Consider the following 20,340-nt stretch of genomic DNA (forward strand, 5'->3'; position numbering starts at 1 on the left):
TTTTCTTTTAGTCTTGCTCTGTTGCCCAGGCTAGAGTGTAGTGGTGCAACTATAAGCTCACTGCAGCCTAAAACTTCTGGGCTCAAGCAATCTTCCCACCTCAGCCCCCTGAGTAGCTGGGACAACAGGCACAAGCCACCAGGACTAATTTTTTAAATTAAAAAAATTTTTTTTTTTTTTTTGTAGAGACAGGGTTTCCCTATGTTGCCCAGGCTGCTCTTGAATTCCTGAGCTCAAGCAATCCTCCACCTCAACCTCCCAAAGCTCTACAGGCCACCATGTGCGATCACAGCTCATTGCAGCCTCAACCTCCCAGGCTCAAGCCATCTTCCAGCCTCAGCCTCCTGAATGGCTGGGACAACAGGTGTGCACCACCATGCCCAAGAAATTTAAAACTTTTTCTTGGGCAGAAACAGGGTCTTGTTATGTTACCCAGACTGGTCTTCAACTTTCAGGCTCAAGCAATCCTCCTGCCTCGCCTCACAGAGTGTTGAGATGACAGGTGTGAACCACTGCATGTAGCAGCCCCATACCTCATTCATTCTTTTTTTTTTTTTTTTTTTTTTTTTGAGACAGAGTCTCTGTTGCTCAGGGTGGAGTGCAGTGGCATGATCTCAGCTCACTGCAACCTCCACCTCCCAGGTTCAAGTGATTCTTGTGCCTCAGCCTCCCGAGTAGCTGGGATTACAGGCTAGTTTGTTGTTTTTTTTTTTTTTTGGAGATAGTCTCGCTCTGTTGCCCAGGCTGGAGTGTGGTGGCACGATCTCAGCTCACTGCAACCTCCACCTCCTGGGTTCAAGCGATTCTCCTGCCTCAGCCTCCCAAGTAGCTGGGATTATAGGCATGTGCTACCACGTCCAGCTAATTTTTGAATTTTTAGTAGAGATGGGGTTACACCATGTTGGCCAGGCAGATCTCAAACTCCCGACCTCAGGTGATCCACCTACCTCAGCCTCCCAAAGTGCTAGAATTACAGGCATGAGCCACCATGCTCGGAATATTTTTAGTGGAGATGGGGGTTTGCCATGTTGGCCAGGCTGGTCTCGAACTCCTGGCCTCAGGTGATCCACCTGCCTCAGGCTTCTAAAGTGCTGGGATTACAGGAGTGACCTACTATGCCCAGCCCCCATGTCTTATTCTTGACTACATTTCTAGTCCAGACATTTTAATAATCAATCATCAAATAACAGAATCTTTCGGTTTAAATCCCATTGGCTACCTGAACCTGTTCTATGAGAATCCACTCAGGCTACATTTGAACACATCTAGTCATCTCTAGTCTTCATCTTTAGACAGCTCTATTCAAAATCTGTTTTATTTTTTAAATGAATCAAAATCTGTCCCCTTGGTAGCTAGTTGTAGTGGCTTGCGCCTATAGTCCCAACAATGCTTGGGAGGCTGAGGCAGGAGGATTGCTTGAGGTTAGAAATTCAAGACCAGTCTGAGCAGGGCCAGACATGGTAGTTCACGCTTGTAATCCCAGCACTTTGGGAAGCTGAGGCTGGTGGATCACCTGAAGTCAGGAGTTCGAGACCAGCCTGGACAACATGTTGAAACCCTGTCTCTACTAAAATACAAAAACTAGCCGGGCGTGGTGGCAGGCGCCTATAATCCCAGCTACTTGGGAGGCTGAGGCAGGAGAATTGCTTGAACCTGGGAAGTGGAGGTTGCAGTGAGCCGAGACTGAGCACTGCACTCCAGCCTGGGCAACAGAGTGAGACTCTGTCCTCCCCACCCCACACCACAAAACAAAACAAAAAAAAACAGTCTGAGCGGTAACAGCAAGAAAAAAAACAGTCTGAGCGATAACAGCAAGACCCTGTCTCTAAAAAAATCTGTCCCCCAGAACCTCTACTTGCTGGACTTTGTTCTATCTCCTTAGAATCATCAGAGAAAGGAATCAGACGATAGTGCTTGCTGGACTTTGTTCTGTCTCCTTAGAATAATCAGAGAAAGGAATCAGAAGATAGTGCAGTGCTCTATGAAAAAAATTAATGTTGGAACATCCTAAAATTTTTAATAAAGCATGCCACTACTCAGTATCGATAACTTGGGTTATTTTCCCAAGGGTGGCAGCCAGGCACTGCTGGAATCTGGGTTAACCAAGAATATTCAGGTAGGAAGAACAGTTTTCATGGTTATGTTAGGACTGAAAGTAAATCAGCACTTCTTTTCAAATTCTTCTCCAACTCTGAGTTTATTATTTTCTACTACACATAGCTTCACAGGGGCTACAAAATGGTAGAGAAAGGGGGTGGGCGAGCAGGCAGGCATGTCCGTTCAGAAGGAATAACACTGGAAGGGACATAGAGGACACTCAGGCATGTATAAGAGATAAACGGATGCGAACAAGTTTTAGTTTAGTAAGAACTAACAGCTGTTAAGTAGTGCCTATAAAACAAAAAATTTTTTAGAAAGTGGCTTTTACAGTTACTGACATATCTCGCCTTCTTTATTTTTACCATTAAAAAATTAATTGCTCTTTCTTTTGTGGAGTCCCATGTTCGAAGTTTTTCCTTGGTCAATTAATAATCTCAAAGTTCTTAAAATTGTGTTAATGTGGCTCACGTCTGTAATCCCAGCACTTTGGGAGGGCGAGCCAAGTGGATCACCTGAGGTCAGGAGTTCAAAACCAGCCTGGCCAACACAGTGAAATCCCATCTCTACTAAGAATACAAAAAATCAGCCGGGTGTGGTGGCGCATGCCTGTAATCCCAGCTACTTCAGAGGCCAAGGCAGGAGAATTGCTTGAATCTGGGAGGTGGAGGTTGCAGTGAGCTGAGATCTCGCCACTGCACTCCAGCCTGGGCAACAACAGTGAAATTCCATCTCAAAAAAATAATAATAATAATTAAAAAATAAAAACTGTTAATCAGGAGATCAGTTTGGCTTAAAGGCAGAGTTCCATGCAGAGTCAGGTCTCCAGGGCTAACGATGCCAGGGATCTAGGATACAGCAAAGCTAAAGAAAGGCAGTGCTATATAGATCAGTGTGATGGGGCTTTAATTATTTACTAGCATCATAACTCTACAGGTCTAAGGAAATATTTTTAACAGCTTTACAGCCTGAATGCTTGGGCCTCCTTTCTCTCTAATGGCAACCTGATTGATGGCATATATTTCCACAGTTCTGCAACACATACCATGAGCACCTCTGCCTGGAAGATACCTTACTTAATGGGGAATCTGCAATGCTGTCAGGCACTACAGTATCCTACACTAGGGTAGGGAATTGCACATTCTGATGTTGTGTATTATCTAAGTGTCTACTATACTGTATTTCTGAATTAAAATCTACAATCTTACCTGAACACACTCTTCCAGGTCCATCTTTTCAAGTTCATGGCAATTCTACAAAGTACAAAAACAAACACAAACATTACAGTACAAACATTTAAAACATGAGAAACTTTTAAGGACAGAAAACTAAGAGGTAATATTAAATACGTTGATAAATTCTTTGGTGTTTCAGAGCTAGTGTCATGCTAATTTTTTTTTCTTTCTTTTGAGACAAGGTCTCACTCTGTCACCCAGGTTGGAGTGCAGTGGTGAAATCATGGCTCACTGCAGCCTCCAACTCCCTGGGCTCAGGTGATTCTCCCACCTCAGCCTCCCAATTAGCTGGGACTATAGGAATGTGCCACCACACCTGGCTAATTTTTGTATTTCTTTTCTTTTTTTTTTCTTTTTGAGATGGAGTCTGGCTCTTGTCACCTAGGCTGGAATGCAGTGGCATGATCTCGGCTCACGGCAAGCTCTACCTCCCGGGTTCACGCCATTCTCCTGCCTCAGCCTCCTGAGTAGCTGGGACTACAGGCGCCCGCCACCACGCCTGGCTAATTTTTTGCATTTTTAGTAGAGACGGGGTTTCACCATGTTAGCCAGGATGGTCTCGATCTCCTGACCTCGTGATCCGCCCGCCTCGGCCTCCCAAAATGCTGGGATTACAGGCGTGAGCCATCGCGCCCGGCCTTTCCTCTTTTTTTTTTTTTTTTTTGAGACAGAGTTTCGCTCGTTGCCCAGACTGGAGTGCAATGGCACGATCTCAGCTCACTGCAACCTCCGCCTCCCGGATTCAAGCGATTCTCCTGCCTCAGCCTCCCAAGTAGCTGGGATTACAGGCATGCGCCACCATCACCGGCTAATTTTGTGTTTTTAGTAAAGTCAGGGTTTCTCCATGTGGGTCAGGCTGATCTCGAACTCCTGACCTCAGGTGATCCACCCCCCTTGGCCTCCCCAAGTGCTGGGATTACAGGCATGAGCCACCGCGCCCGGCCTTTTGTATTTCTTACAGAGATGAAATTTCGCCATGTTGCCCGGGCTGGGCTCAAGCGATCTGCTTTCCTTGGCCTTCCAAAATGCTGGGATTACAGGCATGAGCCACTGCACCCAGGCTATGGCCTCCTTTAGTCATGCCATGTGCTGGCTCCCACCTAATTAATATTCTATCGATCTGCCTAAAAGCAAACGACCATCCCCTTGTACCATAACACTGGTCAAAGTCAGTATAATTTTAAATATTATCATATAGTAATTTATAAACCCGTCCAAGTATTAAAATACTCAGGAGAATACAGAAAATCTCCTAAAACCTTTCCATTTAGAACCAGACATGTGTTTCCTTCAATGTTACTTTCATCCACTAGTCATGTACCAAATAACCAATAAGTTTTTTCACAAAGTACCAAGAAGCACCTGCTTAATCTATTAGCTTATGAAATTGTGAAGAATCAAGTCTCATGGGTGGGTGCAGTGGCTCACGTCTGTAATCTCATCACTTTGGGAGGCCAAGGTGAGCGGATGACTTGAGGTTGGGAGTTGAAGACCAGCCTGGCCAACATGGTGAAACCCTGTCTCTACTAAAAATACAAAACTTAGCTGGATGTGGTGGCACATGCTTGTAATCCCAGCTACTCGGGAGGCTGAGGCAGGAGAAATGCTTGAACCTGGGAGGTGGAGGTTGCAGTGAGCCGAGATCGTGTCACTGCACTCCAGCCTGGGTGACAGAGCGAGACCCCATCTCAAAAAAATTTAAAAAAAATTGTTTAAAAAGTATCATGAAGGGGTTTTATATTCTCCAATGCATGTGTGCATTTCTAGGAGCAGTTTGTATTCTTATTGATATCAGTAGGTCTGTAGCTATAGCATGAAACCCCGTCTCACTCACCCAATTCTGCTACCATTTCACATTTCCCTTGCTGCTTGTTCTTCTGAAATAAAAAGCCCTAATAAAACCTATGGAAACAAACCTATGGAACCTAAAGAAAATACTTACCCTGGCTAGAGTGGTAAAGCCCACATCTGTTAATTGAGAACATCTTGCCACTTCCAATATTCTGTTAAAAAAAAAAAAAAAACAGTGAAAGTCAAGCTCTTGGTCCCTGAAAACTGAGTTTATTAAAACAGTAAGAATTTACAAAAACAATCTTCTATTCTCTAAGGACTTTATAATATAGAATGACATTAACAACTAAGCAAGTCTGTATACAGATCTTGCCATTCATTTTCATGGAGTCATCATAAAGTGGTCCTATAAATACCACATTTCAGGGTGATGCAATCAATGAACACAGAAGAATATAATTGAAGCTTGTAGTTAATGCCAAAACGCATGAAATGCATTAAAAGCCTTCTTGATGGCATACTGCTTACCCCCAGAGGGCAGCCTGCTCCTAGAAAACAAAGGAAACGGAGATACTCTATTTCAGTTAATCTCTTGCTGAAATGAATTATTTTCTTTCCTGTTTTAGAAGTAGGTTCACTTAGATTTAAATTGCTTTAAAAAAAATGTGACAGGCCGGGCATGGTGGCTCATGCCTATAATCCCAACACTTTGGGAGGCCGAGGTGGGCGGATCACCTGAGGTCAGGAGTTCGAGACCAGCCTGGCCAACACGGTGAAACCCCATTTCTACCAAAAATGCAAAAATTAGTCTGGCGTGGTGGCGGGTGCCTGTAGTCCCGGCTACTCGGGAGGCTGAGGCAGGAGAATCGCTTGAACCCGGGAGGCGGAGGTTGCAGTGAGCCGAGATCCCGCCACTGCACTCCAGCCTGGGTGACAGAGCAAGGCTCCGACTCAAAAAAAAAAAAAAAAAAAAAAAAAAAGGTGGGGGGGATTGCTTAATTACAGGTCTATCCCAAATATGAAATTCTAGACTTGTGAAAGCTTCCTGCTTTCTCCCACAGGCTCCCATGGAGGCCCAGTTGAGAGGGAAGCTGAGCTGGCAGCCATTCACCTCTTATTAAGCAACTGTTAAACTCCAATCTAAATACCAACCACAGGATTGGGGAATCAAAAGTAGCTCTCTTCTGTGAAAAGTTGGGTGACCTCTGTAAAATGGTAACAAAGAACATGTTTGTTTATAAAATTCTTACTACTGAAGTTGAAAAAAATTGAAGTTAAAGTATAGGAAACAATTATCAACTGAAAATCAATGAGAAATGGATGGCGGGGTGCGGTGGCTCACACCTATAATCCCAGCACTTCAGGAGGCTGAGGCAGGAGGATCACTTGAGCTCAGGAGTTCAAGACCAGCCTGGGCAACATACCAAGACTTCACCAGTATAAAAAAATTTTTAAATTCTGTCCGGGCGCGGTGACTCACGCCTGTAATCCCTGCACTTTGGGAGGCCGAGGCAGGCGGATCACGAGGTCAGGAGATCGAGACCAGCCTGGCCAACATGGTGAAACCCCGTCTCTACTAAAATTACAAAAAATTAGTCAGGCATGGTGGTGGGCACGTGTAGTCCCAGCTATCTGAGAGGTTGAGGCAGGACAATCACTTGAACCCAGGAGGCGGAGTTTGCAGTGAGCTGAGGTCACGCCACTGCGCTCCAGCCTGGCAACAGAGCGAGACTTTGTCTCAAAAAAAAAAAAAAAAAATTTTTTTTTTAATTCCAAGAGATGGCCAGGTGCGTTGACTCATGCCTGTAATCCCAGAACTTTGGGAGGGCAGATCACCTGAGGCCAGGAGTTTGAGACCACCCTGGCCAACACAGTAAAACCCAATCTCTACCAAAAATACCAAAAAAATTGGCCAGGCATGGTAGCGTATGCCTGTAATCCTGCCTACTCTGGAGGCTGAGGCACGAAAATTGCTTGAACCTGGGAGGAGGAGGTTACAGTGAGCCAAGATCATGCCATTGCACTCCAGCCTGGGCAACAGAGCCAAACTCTATCTCAAAAAAAAAAAAAAAAAAAAGAAAGAAAGAAAGAAAGAAAGAAAAAGAAAGAAAGAAATGAATGCTACCTAATGGGAAAACACGATCTGACTGGAACACAACTTTTGATTTTCACAGTTGAGAGCTTTTCCATTCTAACAATGTAATGAACCATATAGGGAGATGGAGCTGAAGACTCCTCTCTCTACAGTCGAAAAGGATAAAGTGTAAGATATTCAGAGAGAAGTTTGATTACCTCCCCAGCTCTTGAGGAATATTTTAGGCTTCTGATATTACTAATTTTGACCAATAGGTGTATGTTCTCTTAAGAAATTTTGATATTGTAGGCAAAAGGTTTTTTTGTTTGTTTGTTTTTTTGAGAGGGAGTCTCACTCTGCCACCCAGGCTGGGAGTGCAACTTCCACCTCCTGGGTTCAGACAGTTCTCTTGTCTCAGCCTCTCGAGTAGCTGGGATTACAGGAGTGGGCCACCACGCCTGTAATTTTTGTATTTTTAGCAGAGACGAGGTTTCACCATGTTGACCAGGCTGGTCTCAAACTCCTGACCTCAGATGATCCGCCCGCCTCAGCCTCCCAAAGTGTTGGGATTACAGGTGTGAGCCACTGCGCCTGGCCACAAAAGTTCTTTCAACAATTATGGTTAGGCCAGGTAATCATCAGAAACAATTTTCTGAAAGTTTTATAGCTTTACAATGATTATTATATGTAAGAAAAGTGGCTTCATAGGCTCAGGAATCAGAGTTCCTGGGTGAATACTTGTTCCTACACTAACTAGCTGAGACCTTGAGCAGGTTACTTTGTCTCTTTGTGCTTCAGTTTTCTCATCTATAAAATGGCAGTAACAAGGCTGGGTGTGGTGGCTCACGCCTGTAAACCCAGCACTTTGGGAGGCCGAGGTGGGCAGATCATGAGGTCAGGAGACCATCCTGGCCAATATGATGAAACCCCATCTCTACTAAAAATACAAAAATTAGCTGGGTGTGGTGACACTCGCCTGTAGTCCCAGCTACTAGGGAGGCTGAGGCAGGTTAATCGCTTGAACCCAGGAGACGGAGGTTGCAGTGAGCCGAGATCGCGCCACTGCACTCCAGCCTGGGCGACAGAGCAAGACTCTGTTTCAGAAAAAAAAAAAAAAGGCGATAATAGTGCTTATATGGTGCTATGGAGATTAAACAAATTATTACTGTTATTGAGAAAGAGTCTCACTCTGTTGCCCAGGCTAGAGTGCAGTGGTGTGATCTTAGCTCACTGCTGTCTTGACCTCCTGGGCTCAAGTGATCCTCTCACTTTAGCCTCCTGAGTAGCTGGGACTACAAGGCACACATCGCCATGCCTGGCTAATTTTTTTATTTTTTGTAGTGACAGGGTTTCGCCATGTTGCCCATGCTGGTCTCAAACTCCTGGGCTCAAGCGATCTTCTAGCCTCGGTCTCCCTAAATGCTGGGATCACAGGTGTGCGCCTCGGCACTCAGCCCTGAATTAGTATTTGTAAAGCACCTAAAGCAACACCTAATTTACAAGTACTATGTAAGTTTATTTTAGAGAACAAAAAGTGTAGCCAGGTGTGGTAGCACATGTCTTTAGTCCCAGCTACTCCTGAGGCTGAGGTGAGATGATCACTTGAGCCCAGGAGATTGAGGCAGGCATACACAACACTACCTCAAAAGACAGTAACAGGCTGGGCACAGTGGCTTTCACCTGTAATCTCAACACTTTGGGAAGCTGAGGTTTGAGGCCAGCCTGAGCAACACAGCCTGACCCCATCTCTACAAAAAGTAAAAAACACAGCATTCTTCAAACTGAGGAGCCAGAGAGAAATAAGACTGTTTTAAAAACCCATCAGTACAAAAGAGGTATTCCTTTAAGAGTGTCTTTTAAATATAGTACCCCCTGCTATGTACCTGGTATCATTACTATGACAAATGACCTTAGGGTGGACCTTTAAAAACTACTTTGAGAAAAGAATTATACAAAAGCATTAATAAGAGAAAATACCTTTCTTTCTATCTCAAGTAATAAAATGTTGATTCTTTTTTCTAGTATGGATAGCAAGTAGTGGAATTTGGGGATTGTTACCCCTTGGTTCACACCAATTACATGAAATCAAATGAGGTACAAAAAGGAAGTAGGTGGGCATCTAAAAGGGACTACCTTAAAATTTCAAAGCGTCTGCAGTGCCTACCTTAAAATTCCAAAGTTCCAAGGAAGAAATATGGGTGAAGGAAACTTTTGTTCTATGATTTTTTTGAGCTAAACAAGAAATGTTTACCTAAGCCGTGGGCAGTTCTGACCTAGAGCATTCAGGATGGCATCTGTGATGTTGGAGCAGCCAGAGGCACAAAGGGATTGTAACTTATGGCACCCTCTGCATATAGTAATGAGACCTTCATCTGTGATTTGCTAAAAAACAAGAGCAAAAAAATCCATAGATATTAGTATCTTAGCAAAACAAAAAAAGAAAAAAATGATAGCTCTGTGAAAATAATCACCAAAAAGGAAATCAAGACATGCTTAACACATTCATCAGATAGCAGACCTAAAAGAAAATGAACACACGTTGTTTCTTCCTTCCAGTTCTCTGTGCTTACCTTTGGTGCAAAGGGAAGAAGCTATAATAGAATCCTGTTGAAAGCTACAATGGAATTCTAATAGAACTGGGATCAGTATGGGGTACATCATAGTTTAGGTTCAATTAAATAATTTTATTTATTTATTTATTTATTTATTTGGAGATAGAGTCTCACTCTATCACCCAGGCTGGAGTGCAGTGGTGCAATCTTGGCTCACTGCAACCTCCACCTCCCAGGTTCAAGCGATTCTCGTGCCTCAGCCTCCTGACTAGCTGGGACTACAAGTGCACGCCACCATGTCCGGCAATTTTTTTTTTTGTATTTTTAGTAGAGATGGGGTTTTTGGCCAGGCTGGTCTCGAATTCCTGGCCTCAAGTGATCTGCCCACCTCAGCCTCCCAAAGTACTTGAATCACAGGCTTGAGCCACCATGCCTGGCCTCAATTAAATATTAAAACCTAGAAAAAAGATAAGGATATAAGTATTTTAGTAGTATAAATATATCTAAAAGTTCAAATTGACACTGATAAGTTAGTGAAAAAAATTAAACTGTGGATGACAGTTGCAATATTGTATCAGCCACAGCATCCATTTACTTCTATATTTTAGTTTTATAATATAAAGAACATCCTAATTTATAGATAAAAGAGTTGTATCTAACTCAGACACAATTTTGTATTTTTTACAAGTTATTAGACTGGGTGGAGTGGCTCACACATGTAATCCAAGCACTTTGGGAGGCTGAGGTGGGTGGATCACCTGAGGTCGGGAGTTCGAGACCAGCCTGGCCAACATGGTGAAAACCTGTCTCTACTAAAAATACAAAAATTAGCCAAGTATTGTGGCACATGCCTGTAATCCCAGCTACTTGGACGGCTGACACAGGAGAATCGCTTAACCCCAGGAGGAGATTTGCACCACTGCACTCCACCAGGCAATAGAGCAAGAAAAGAAAAAAAAAAAAAAAAAAAAAAGGGACGGGAAGGGAAGGGAGGAAGAGAGGGAAAGGAAAGAAGGAATAAAGAAAGGAAAGAAAGGAAGAAAGAAAGAAAAGAAAGGGAAGGAAGGGAAGGAAGAGAAGAAAGAAAGGAAGAAGGAGGGAGGGAGGGAAGTTATTGAGGCCGGGCATGGTGGCTCAAGCCTGTAACCCCAGCACTTTGGGAGGCGGAGGCGGGTGGATCACGAGGTCAGGAGTTGGAGACCAGCCTGGCCAAGATGGTGAAACCCCGTCTCTACTAAAAATACAAAAATTAGCCAGGCGCAGTGGCGGATGCCTGTAATCCCAGCTACTCGGGAGGCTGAGGCAGGAGAATCACTTGAACCTGGGAGGTGGAGGTTGCAGTGAGCCAAGATTGTGCCACTGCACTCCAGCCTGGGCGACAGCCTCAGCCTCCCAAAGTGCTGGGATTACAGGCGTGGGCCACCACGCCCGGCCCAGGTACAAATATTTCATAAATAATATCTGGTTGTTTTCTAACCAACTGAGTAATTTGTTGCACAATAAGCCACCTCACATCAAAGATGTTATATTTTTAGAAATATTACAAGCACACATGCCTACAGTCCCAGCTACTCAGGAGGCTGAAGTGGAATGATCGCTTTAGCCCAGGAGTTCAAGGTTAGTCTGGGCAACATAATGAGACCACCCCCAACTCCCGTAAACAAAAAAAAGGAAAGTTACACATAAACATCTCAACATGGTGGATACTATCAACTCTTCAATTTGTCCTCCAGATTCACTAATTTTGTGTAGGCCTAAAAATAAAAGCTCTCTTCTTGTCTCTGTTTAATAGTCATGTCCATAAATTACAAGGACAACTGAAAAAACAAAATCCCACAACTTTTAATATCCACTGCTTAAATCATGCTTTCAATATCATGTAGCTGACACAAATATAGATTAAAAAAATTGGATGCTAAGGCAGATACTAATGAGGATCAAGTAATGAGATACTAACACACGTGGAGGCAGCTAAAAAAGTCCCACACAAACATGATGTATTGTCTTTAGACTATGATAGCCGAGATGTAAAGAGGGAAGTAAGAATCAATACACATGCAAATTTAGCAGGCCAAAGATATTTGTGCCACACAATATTAGAAAAGTACCGTAGGGCTGTGCTGCCCTTTCCTTTGTATGTTATAAGAGAGTACTGAGGAAGAAAGATGAGTTAAGTCATACTGTCAGTACTTTAAAAAATTGTAGGCCAGGCACGGTGGCTCGCGTCTGTAATCTCAGCACTTTAGAAGGCTGAGGTGGGCAGATCACTTGAGGTCAGGAGTCTGAGACCAGCCTAACATGGCGAAACCCCGTTTCTACTAAAGATACATAAAATTAGCCAGACATGGTGTCACGTGCCTGTAATCCCAGCTACTGGGGAGGTTGAGGAAGGAGAATCGCTTGAACCCAGGAGGCAGAGGTTGCAGTGAGCCAAGATCATGTCATTGCACTCCAGCTTGGGCAACAAGAGCAAAACTCCGTCTCAAAAAAAAAAAAAAAAAAAAAGTAAAATTTACTAAACTTTTATGTTTTTCAAATCTGTCAAGAAAATGAAAGCATCAAAAATGTACTTTAATCACCTCAATAATTTTGGGCAGAGCATGAAATCTCATGAATGCTGAGAATCATTTTATCACGCTGTAGGGAAGAAATGACTCCTGTACTAAGATTTGGGTGAAGGAAAACAATAAAATACACATAAGATAGAATTGGTTCTTTACGTTCACTGTGATTCCTGCCTGCTGGAAGGATGAAGAAACACCAAACTAAACCCACAAATGTACATATTTATGTCTATATGTGTGTGTATGTAATGTGTATGTATAGAGTGTGTAAATATATGTGCATATATATGTGCTTATACATACAAACACACACACTTGTTTTTTGTTTTGAGACAGAGTCTCGCTCTGCTGCCCAGGCTGGAGTGCAGTGGCGTGCTCTTGGCTCACCGCTACATCTGCCTCCCAGGTTCAAGTGAGTCTCCTGCCTCAGACTCCTGAGTAGCTGGGATTACAGGCACACACCACCACACTTAGATGGTTTTTGTATTTTTAGTAGAGATGGGGTTTCACCATATTGGCCAGGTTGGTCTCGAACTGCTGACCTCAGGTGATTCACCCGCCTTGGCCTCCCAAAGTGCTGGGATTATAGGCACGCGCGTGTGTGCACACATACACACGAAGCTCTCCAGGAATAGTTTTTCTTTGGCATTTTAAGATAATGATTTCATGTTTACAATAACTGTGGTTGATCTCTCAGGAGTAAACATTCCAGTCTTTTTTTTTTTTTTTTTGAGATGGAGTCTGGCTGTGTCGCCCAGGCTGGAGTACAATGGTGCGATCTCAGCTTACTGCAACCTCCACCTCCTGGGTTCAAGCGATTCTCCTGCCTCAGCCTCCCAAATACCTGGGATTACGGGCACACACCACTACGCCCGGGCTAATTTTTGTATTTTTAGTGGAGATGGGTTTCACCATGTTGCAGGCTGGTCTCGATCTCCTGACCTCAAACGATCCACCGTCTCGGCCTCCCAAAGTGTTGGGATTACAGGTGTGAGCCACTGTGCCTGGTCACATTTCAGTCTTAAAAATGAAATCATGGCCGGGTGCAGTGGCTCATGCCTGTAATCCTAGCACTTTGGGAGGCCAAGGCCGGCAGATCACTTGAGGTCAGGAGTTCTAGAGCAGCCTGGCCAACATGGCAAAACCCCATCTCTACCAAAATTAGCCAGGCATGGTGGCACGCCCTGTAATCTCAGCTACTCGGGAAGGTGGGGCAGGAGAATTCCTTGAACCTGGGAGATGGAGGTTGCAGAGAGCCGAGATCGCACCACTGCACTCCAGCCTGGGCGATACAGCGAGACTCCGTCTCTAAATAAATAAATAAATAAAATGAAATTAGGCAAATTCTGATAGTCAGCAACTATAGTAATCGGAATTGTAAGGAAGAGCCCAGGTAGCTCACGCCTGTAATCCCAGCACTTTGCGAGGCTGAGGCAGGCAGATTGCTTGAGCCCAGACATTTGAGACCAGCCTGGCAACATAGGGAGACCCTATCTCTACAAAAAAATTAAAAAATTAGCCAGGTGTGGTGGCACACACCTGTAGTCCAAGCTACTCAGAAGGCTGAGGTGGAAGGATTGCTTGAGCCCTGTAGTTGGAGGTTGCTGTGAGCTGTGATCATGCCACTAATAGTCCAGTCTGAGTGACAGAGTGAGACTTCACCTCAAAAAAAAAAAAAAAGGAACTTATCACTTTTTTCTTTGCCATGAGCAACTCTCACTCCAAGGCAAATACATTTGTAATTTTTAAGGCAAGAGAAAAAAGCTAAAGGTGTACTGTTGGCCAGGCACGTGGCTCACACCTGTATTCCCAGCACTTTGGGAGGCCAAGCCAGGTGGATTGCTTGAGCCCAGGAATTCGAGACCAACCTGGCCAACATGGCAAAACCCCATCTCTACAAAAAAAATACAAAAATTAGCTGAGTGTGGTGGCACATGTCTGTAGTCCCAACTACTAGGGAGGCTGAGGTGGAACAATCACTTGAGCCCGGGAGGTGAAGGTGAGCAAAAATCACACCACCGCATTCCAGCCTGGGTAACACAGCAAGACTCTGTCCCAAAAATTAGGCCATGGCAGTGGCTTACGCCTGTAATCCCAGCACTTTGGGAGGCCGAGGCAGGCAGATCACCTGAGGTCAGGAGTTTGAGACCAGCCTGGTCAACATGGCAAAAACCCATCTCTACTAAAAATACAAAAATTACCAGCCTGGCCAACATAGTGAAACCCCATCCCTACTAAAAATACAAAAAAATCAGCCAGGTGTGGTGACGGGCGCTTGTAATCCCAGCTACTTGGGAGGCTGAGGCAAGAAGAATCGCTTGAACCTGGGAGGCGGAGGTTGCAGTGAGCCGAGATCGTGCCTCTGCACTCCAGCCCAGGCAACAGTGCAAGACTCCGTCTCAAAAAAAAAAAAAAAAAATTAGCCGGGCATGGTGACACACACTTGCAATCCTAGATACTCAGGAGGCAGAGGTAGGAGAATTGTTTGAACCCGGGAAGCAGGGTTGCAGTGAGCCGAGATAGCGTCACTGCACTCTAGCCTGGGCGACACAGTGAGACTCTGTCTCAAAAAAAAAAAAAAAAAAAAAGTAGCTGGGTGTGGCGTGTAATCCCAGCAATGCAGAAGGCTGAGGCAGGAGAATCGCTTGAGCCTAGGAGGTGGAGGTTGGCTGCAGTGAGTGCAGATCTCACCACTACCCTTGAGCCTGGGTGACAGAGTAAGACTTTGCCTCAAAATAAATAAATAAATAAATAAATAACAAAATAAAGATGTACTGTTAACATTCTAGGTGCCTGAATAGTTTCAGCAAATTATCTGAGTAGAATTCAGGGGTTTTGGGGTAGACACAAAAAAGCTGATAGTTTGAACAAGACAAAACGCTAAATATAGATGCTACTTGAAAATAATTTGACGAGTATATATTGCTCATCATCTTATTTATTTTTTTGAGACAAGGTCTCACTCTGTTGCCCGAGCTGGAGTGCTGTGGCATGATTTCAGCTCACTGCACCTCAAGCTCCCAAGCTCAACTGATCTTCCCACCTCAGCCTCCCAAGAAGCTGGGACTACAGGCACACACCACCAAACCCAGCTAATTTTTGCACCTTTTGTAGAGACGGGGTTTTGTCATGTTGCCTAGGCTGGTCTCAAACTCCTGGACTCAAGCAGTCTGCCTGCTTCAGCCTCCCAAAGTGCTGGGATTACAGGCATGAGCCACCGTGCCCAGCTTGACTGCAATTTTAAATACTAAACTTGTGAATCATTTACATTTTAAAAGTAGACAGTTTTTTTAAGTATGTAAGAAAGGGGTGGAGCTACAGTTAGTTCATCTGGAATTCTGCATAAGCTAGCTACCTCCTATCTTATCTATGCCAAGGCCCCTAGGAATGAGTATTGTTAAGCACGTCAAAAGTCATCTGTGTGTTTACTTTGTCACTAGGGTTGTGGTAGAAAAACAATACTGGTCTTGATGACTGAAGCTCTTAAAATAGCTCTTAAAAATTTTAATGAAATGAATTACTAAAACAGAAGAGTTGTGAGAAGGGATGTTTACCAAGCAAGTCTGCAAGTTCAAAGTCACCAGTTCAGGGCAGTGTGCACCTATGTACTTGAGAGCTTCATCTTCTAGCTAGAAAGATTAAAAAGTAAGAAAAAAATGATTATTGACATTGTCTCAAAGGAAAGAGATTTAAGAATGTACACATTCATTCATACATTCTAATACAGCCAACCAAGTTTCGAAGGAACAATGAATCAGAAAATACGCTATGATCATATAACAGTATAATTCTTATTATGATTCTCAGTATTTTTAAAATCAGCTTTGACCACATTCAAATTCACATAATCATCAAATCAAGAACAAAGATGAAGTAAACACTGCCTAGTTTTTATGGGTTTTACTTCTGATAAATTAAATATACCTGACAGCATTTTACTGAGGGCCCATGAAACTAAAATAATTTTCAAACTTCTACACACCCCTTATAAAGTTTTTTATAAACAAACTTTGAGGAAATACAGCCAAGAAAGGAATCCAGTGTTCATCTCCCACTGGAAGATAGGTGCCATGCTTACAGTGCTGAGAACAGATGGTAAGTAACTGATTATAATGATACATTCCAATCAGTATTTTTCAGGATTCCTTAAATAACCAGAAGCTCAAGCTGTTGTTTTAAGGCAGTCATACATCTGAAATTCTCTTTCAAACAATGGAACCCCTCTCATCGTGATAAAAGAATCAGGGCACTTTTAATGGAATCCAAGTTATGGTTTTAGTAACCATTAATAAAATAAAGTAGAGCCTAGCCTTAGTTTGTCAGCCACAATTTAAATCCACTCATTTCTTTCCAGAGGCTAACTAATCAATTCTTTTTTTCACTATAAAACACTGAGATAGTAAAATTTTTAATGACAAAATATGTTGGATTTGTAATGTGACTGGCAGGAAATAAGCATCAATACTATAAAATGCAGGTTGCTGTACACTTGGCATATTTAAGAAACACTGGTGGTTAAAAAACAAGTGGAAATTGCTAAGACTGCCTTCTTTGCCTATCCAGTTCAAAGTATCAGGCAGTGACAACAAGCCAAGTTTTCTTTTCAGCACAAATTAAACTGCATGGAACTCTTCTTGACCATGGTGTATCTTTAATATAATCTTAATTTACACTTTGTCTCCCTCCTCCTCAAGTTTATTTTTGGTCAGATGTTAATTCTTCTCATTCTTTTATCCTAAGGAAAACACTTTAATTTTTGGTAAGCATTTGTCTTTTGTCAATAATACACACAACTAACCTTTCCCTCCAGACAAACATCTTGGGGCTGTCTATAAAGAGCTCATGATTCATTCACGATTCTTCCGAATTTCACGAGCCCTACATGGAGTATTACCTGCGTGCAGCCTTTTAAGAATAAGGCCTTGAGACCCCCACAGCCCCTCACTAGTGCTTGAATGCCATCCTTGGTTACTTGGTCACACCAGGAAATGTTCAACTGCTCCAACAGTGGACATCCCTCACTTAGGATAAAACAAAATAAGAGAAACATATCACTAAATCCAATTCCAAAAACACCAACGTCTCAATTTATTGGCTATTTAGTAAAGGAATGGAAACATTCCCATTTTTTCCCACAAGAAAAAACATATTTACCTAATGTATATTTAGATTTATCGATGTGGTATTCACATGGGACTATACCATTAGCAGGAACATCTAAAATCCAGCTTAACCAACAAACACAAAGCATTATAATGTTTTTCAGATTTATATTCCTTTTGTACTTATCACATATCTCAAAGCTCTCTAGACAAAAAATGGAAATTAAGTGATTTATTCTAGTTTACAGAGTAATTAATAAAGAGCTCTGATTCAAAACGAGATTCTCCATCGAGCAATGCTATTACTGGTTGAGTATCCCTTATCTTAAATGCTTGGTACCAGCAGTGTTTCAGATTTCAGATTTTGCAATATTTGCATTATACTTACATAGCTGAGTATCCCATATCTGAAAATCTGAAGTGCCCCAGTGAGCAGTTCCTTTGAGTGTCACATTGATACTCAAAAAGTTTGGGATTTTGAAGCATTTCAGATTTTCTTTTCTTTCTTTTTTTTTTTGAGACAGGGTCTCGTTCTGTCACCCAGGCTGGAGTGCAGTGGCGCCATCAGGGCTCACTACAGCTGTGACCTCCATGGCTCAACTGATCCTCCCGCCTCAGTCCCTCAAGTAGCACCCAGCTGCATTTTGGATTTTTGAAACGGGGATATTCAACTCACAGTACCAAAGTAGTAATGAAGCCTTTTAAACTTTTATTTTAAAAAATTACAAAGGCCCTGTGTATTTCCTTATCTGAGATGTTTCTAGAGTACCGCTTTTGTAGGCTGAATTTAGGATATCTTATGTCCGATCTCTGCCTTCAAAATACTAGTTTCATTGTTGATTCCATCTACTCTTAATAGTTTAGCTTCATATTTGTATTATGGATGAATTCCAAGTTTTCTATAATATTCTTCAGAAAAACACTCCATAAATTGTTTGAAATATTCCTGCCTGCAGAAAAGATCCAGAAGATAAAGCCATGATATCAAGTTCATTCTCCAATATTAATAGTTTAACTTCAGGCAAATGACTTTAGGAAGCCTGTCTGAACCTCTCTTAGTCCAAGATTAGCCCCATAGCTCTCTGTTTTCCCAAAACTGATGTACTCATTCCTACCATAGCATTTATTCCACAATAACAGTTGACTGTGAGCAACTTAAGGGCAGCAATATCTTACTCGGTTACATCTCATGGTTGCATCACAGTACCTGGCAGTCAACAGCTTTCTAGATTTTCTTAGCTGTAAAATGACCATCCACTCTACTTCACAAAGCTTTTAAATAAATAAGATCATTTATGTGAAAATATTTTATAAATGATAAAAGTTGTTATATTATCAAGTTTATTAGCCTACACAGCAAACCGTCTTAGGTACATGTGTTCAATATTCACAAAGAAGGTCTAAAAGGAGCCACATTTTAGATTATTTATACTCTACTTAACTAAATTTGTATTTTTTTCTTGAGATGAGGTCTCGTTCTGTTGCCCAGCCTGGAGTGCAGTGGCACGATTACAGCTCACTGCAGCCTCAACCTGCTGGGCTCAAGTGATCCTCCTGCTTCAGTCCCCTGAGCAGCTGGGACTACAGGGGTATGCCACCACGCCTGGCAAATTTTCTTATTTTTTTTAGTAGAGACAGGGTTTCCCTATGTTGCGCAGGCTGGTCTAGAACTCCTGAGCTCAAGCGATCCTCTTACCATGGCCTCCCAAAGTGCTGGGATTACAGGTGTGAGCCATCACGCCTGGCCTCAGGGACCCTTTTTAAAGCACTTTATATTCATTAGGTTGAGCCACATGTAGCTGTCATTCTTATAACATGAAAACTGTCAAATACTAGCAAAACTTTATATGGTGTTGCCTAATACCTTGTTAAACCTTAATAAAATGTTATGAGGTGATAAGAAAAAGCTCAGAAAGGTTGTGTTTGCTTAAAGTACCTGGTTAATAATCTGGCTCCAGATACCTGTTTTAAGCACTAAGCTATAACACGTGCCCTTTCTTTCTTTTTTTTTGTTTTTTTTGAGACAGAGTCTCACTCTGTCAGCACACTGGAGTGCAATGGTGTGCTCTTGGCTTACCGCAACCTCTGCCTCCCGAGTAGCTGGGACTACAGGCGCACGCCACCATGCCCAACTAATTTTTATATTTTTAGTAGAGACAGGGTTTCACCATGTTGGCCAGGATGGTCTTAACCTCTTGACCTCGTGATCTGCCTGCCTCGGCCGCCCAAAATGCTGGGATTACAGGCGTGAGTCTTCATGCCTGGCCTTATTTTCTTTTTGAAAATAAGACTTCATAAAAATCTAATTGTTTATGTATAAACTGTACTACCCTGTTCAGAAATCCTAGTTACCTCTAGTCATTTCACTTTAGTATGTCCCATAATTGTAATTTGGGCAAGTGGTAAAACAAATTATCTATTCTGAACTATAGAATATATCCATAAAACAGAGTTGCCTTCAATTCCCACTTTATATCAATTATTTTTTTAAAATATGTATTTTTTTTTGATTACTTGACATGCTTATTATAAGAAATTTACCTCAGAGCTTTTAGAGACATGTTTGTTATTGATGTACAGGAAGCCAAGTCAAGGTGCCTGAGTTTGGAACAGAACTTGCTAAGGCTAGTACATGTACTGAAAAATGGAAAAAGGAGAAAATAATGAATAAACAAGACAAGTACACATCCTTGGTATATCAGACACTGTTCTTATTAAACACATGTGTATATATAAGAACTGTAAAATTTTCATACCCCTAAAAAAGCAGTTATATATCCTACGACCCTTCACATTGAGGAAGAGACAGATACCATTCACAAAGAAAAAAGGCTGTGCTGCATATGAGAATTTGAATGAGGGGAAGATGGTGTTTGATTCACATTTTAAAATGTTAACAGCAATTGACAACATGATACTTAATGT

At 42.5% G+C, this 20,340-nt stretch overlaps 1 protein-coding gene across 6 annotated transcripts in view; it reads right to left on the bottom strand.

Annotated features, from left to right (window-relative positions):
* FBXL20 (F-box and leucine rich repeat protein 20) overlaps positions 1-20,340 on the bottom strand; it is a 149,894-nt gene that overhangs the window by 12,859 nt on the left and 116,695 nt on the right. For 4 of the 6 annotated variants that reach the window (XM_047436952.1, NM_001370208.3, NM_032875.3 and 1 more), the window contains exons 7-12: positions 19,957-20,052; positions 17,208-17,334; positions 15,868-15,942; positions 9,449-9,579; positions 5,275-5,335; positions 3,306-3,350 (exon numbers count right to left, since the gene is read on the bottom strand). In XM_047436952.1, the coding sequence (XP_047292908.1) occupies positions 3,306-3,350; positions 5,275-5,335; positions 9,449-9,579; positions 15,868-15,942; positions 17,208-17,334; positions 19,957-20,052 (535 nt within the window). The remainder of the gene's footprint in view (positions 1-3,305; positions 3,351-5,274; positions 5,336-9,448; positions 9,580-15,867; positions 15,943-17,207; positions 17,335-19,956; positions 20,053-20,340) is intronic. The other 2 variants (NM_001370209.3, NM_001184906.2) reach the window with 1 other exon arrangement.

The sequence above is a fragment of the Homo sapiens genome, chromosome 17, assembly GCF_000001405.40.
Source record: "Homo sapiens chromosome 17, GRCh38.p14 Primary Assembly".
Classification (NCBI taxonomy): domain Eukaryota; kingdom Metazoa; phylum Chordata; class Mammalia; order Primates; family Hominidae; genus Homo; species Homo sapiens.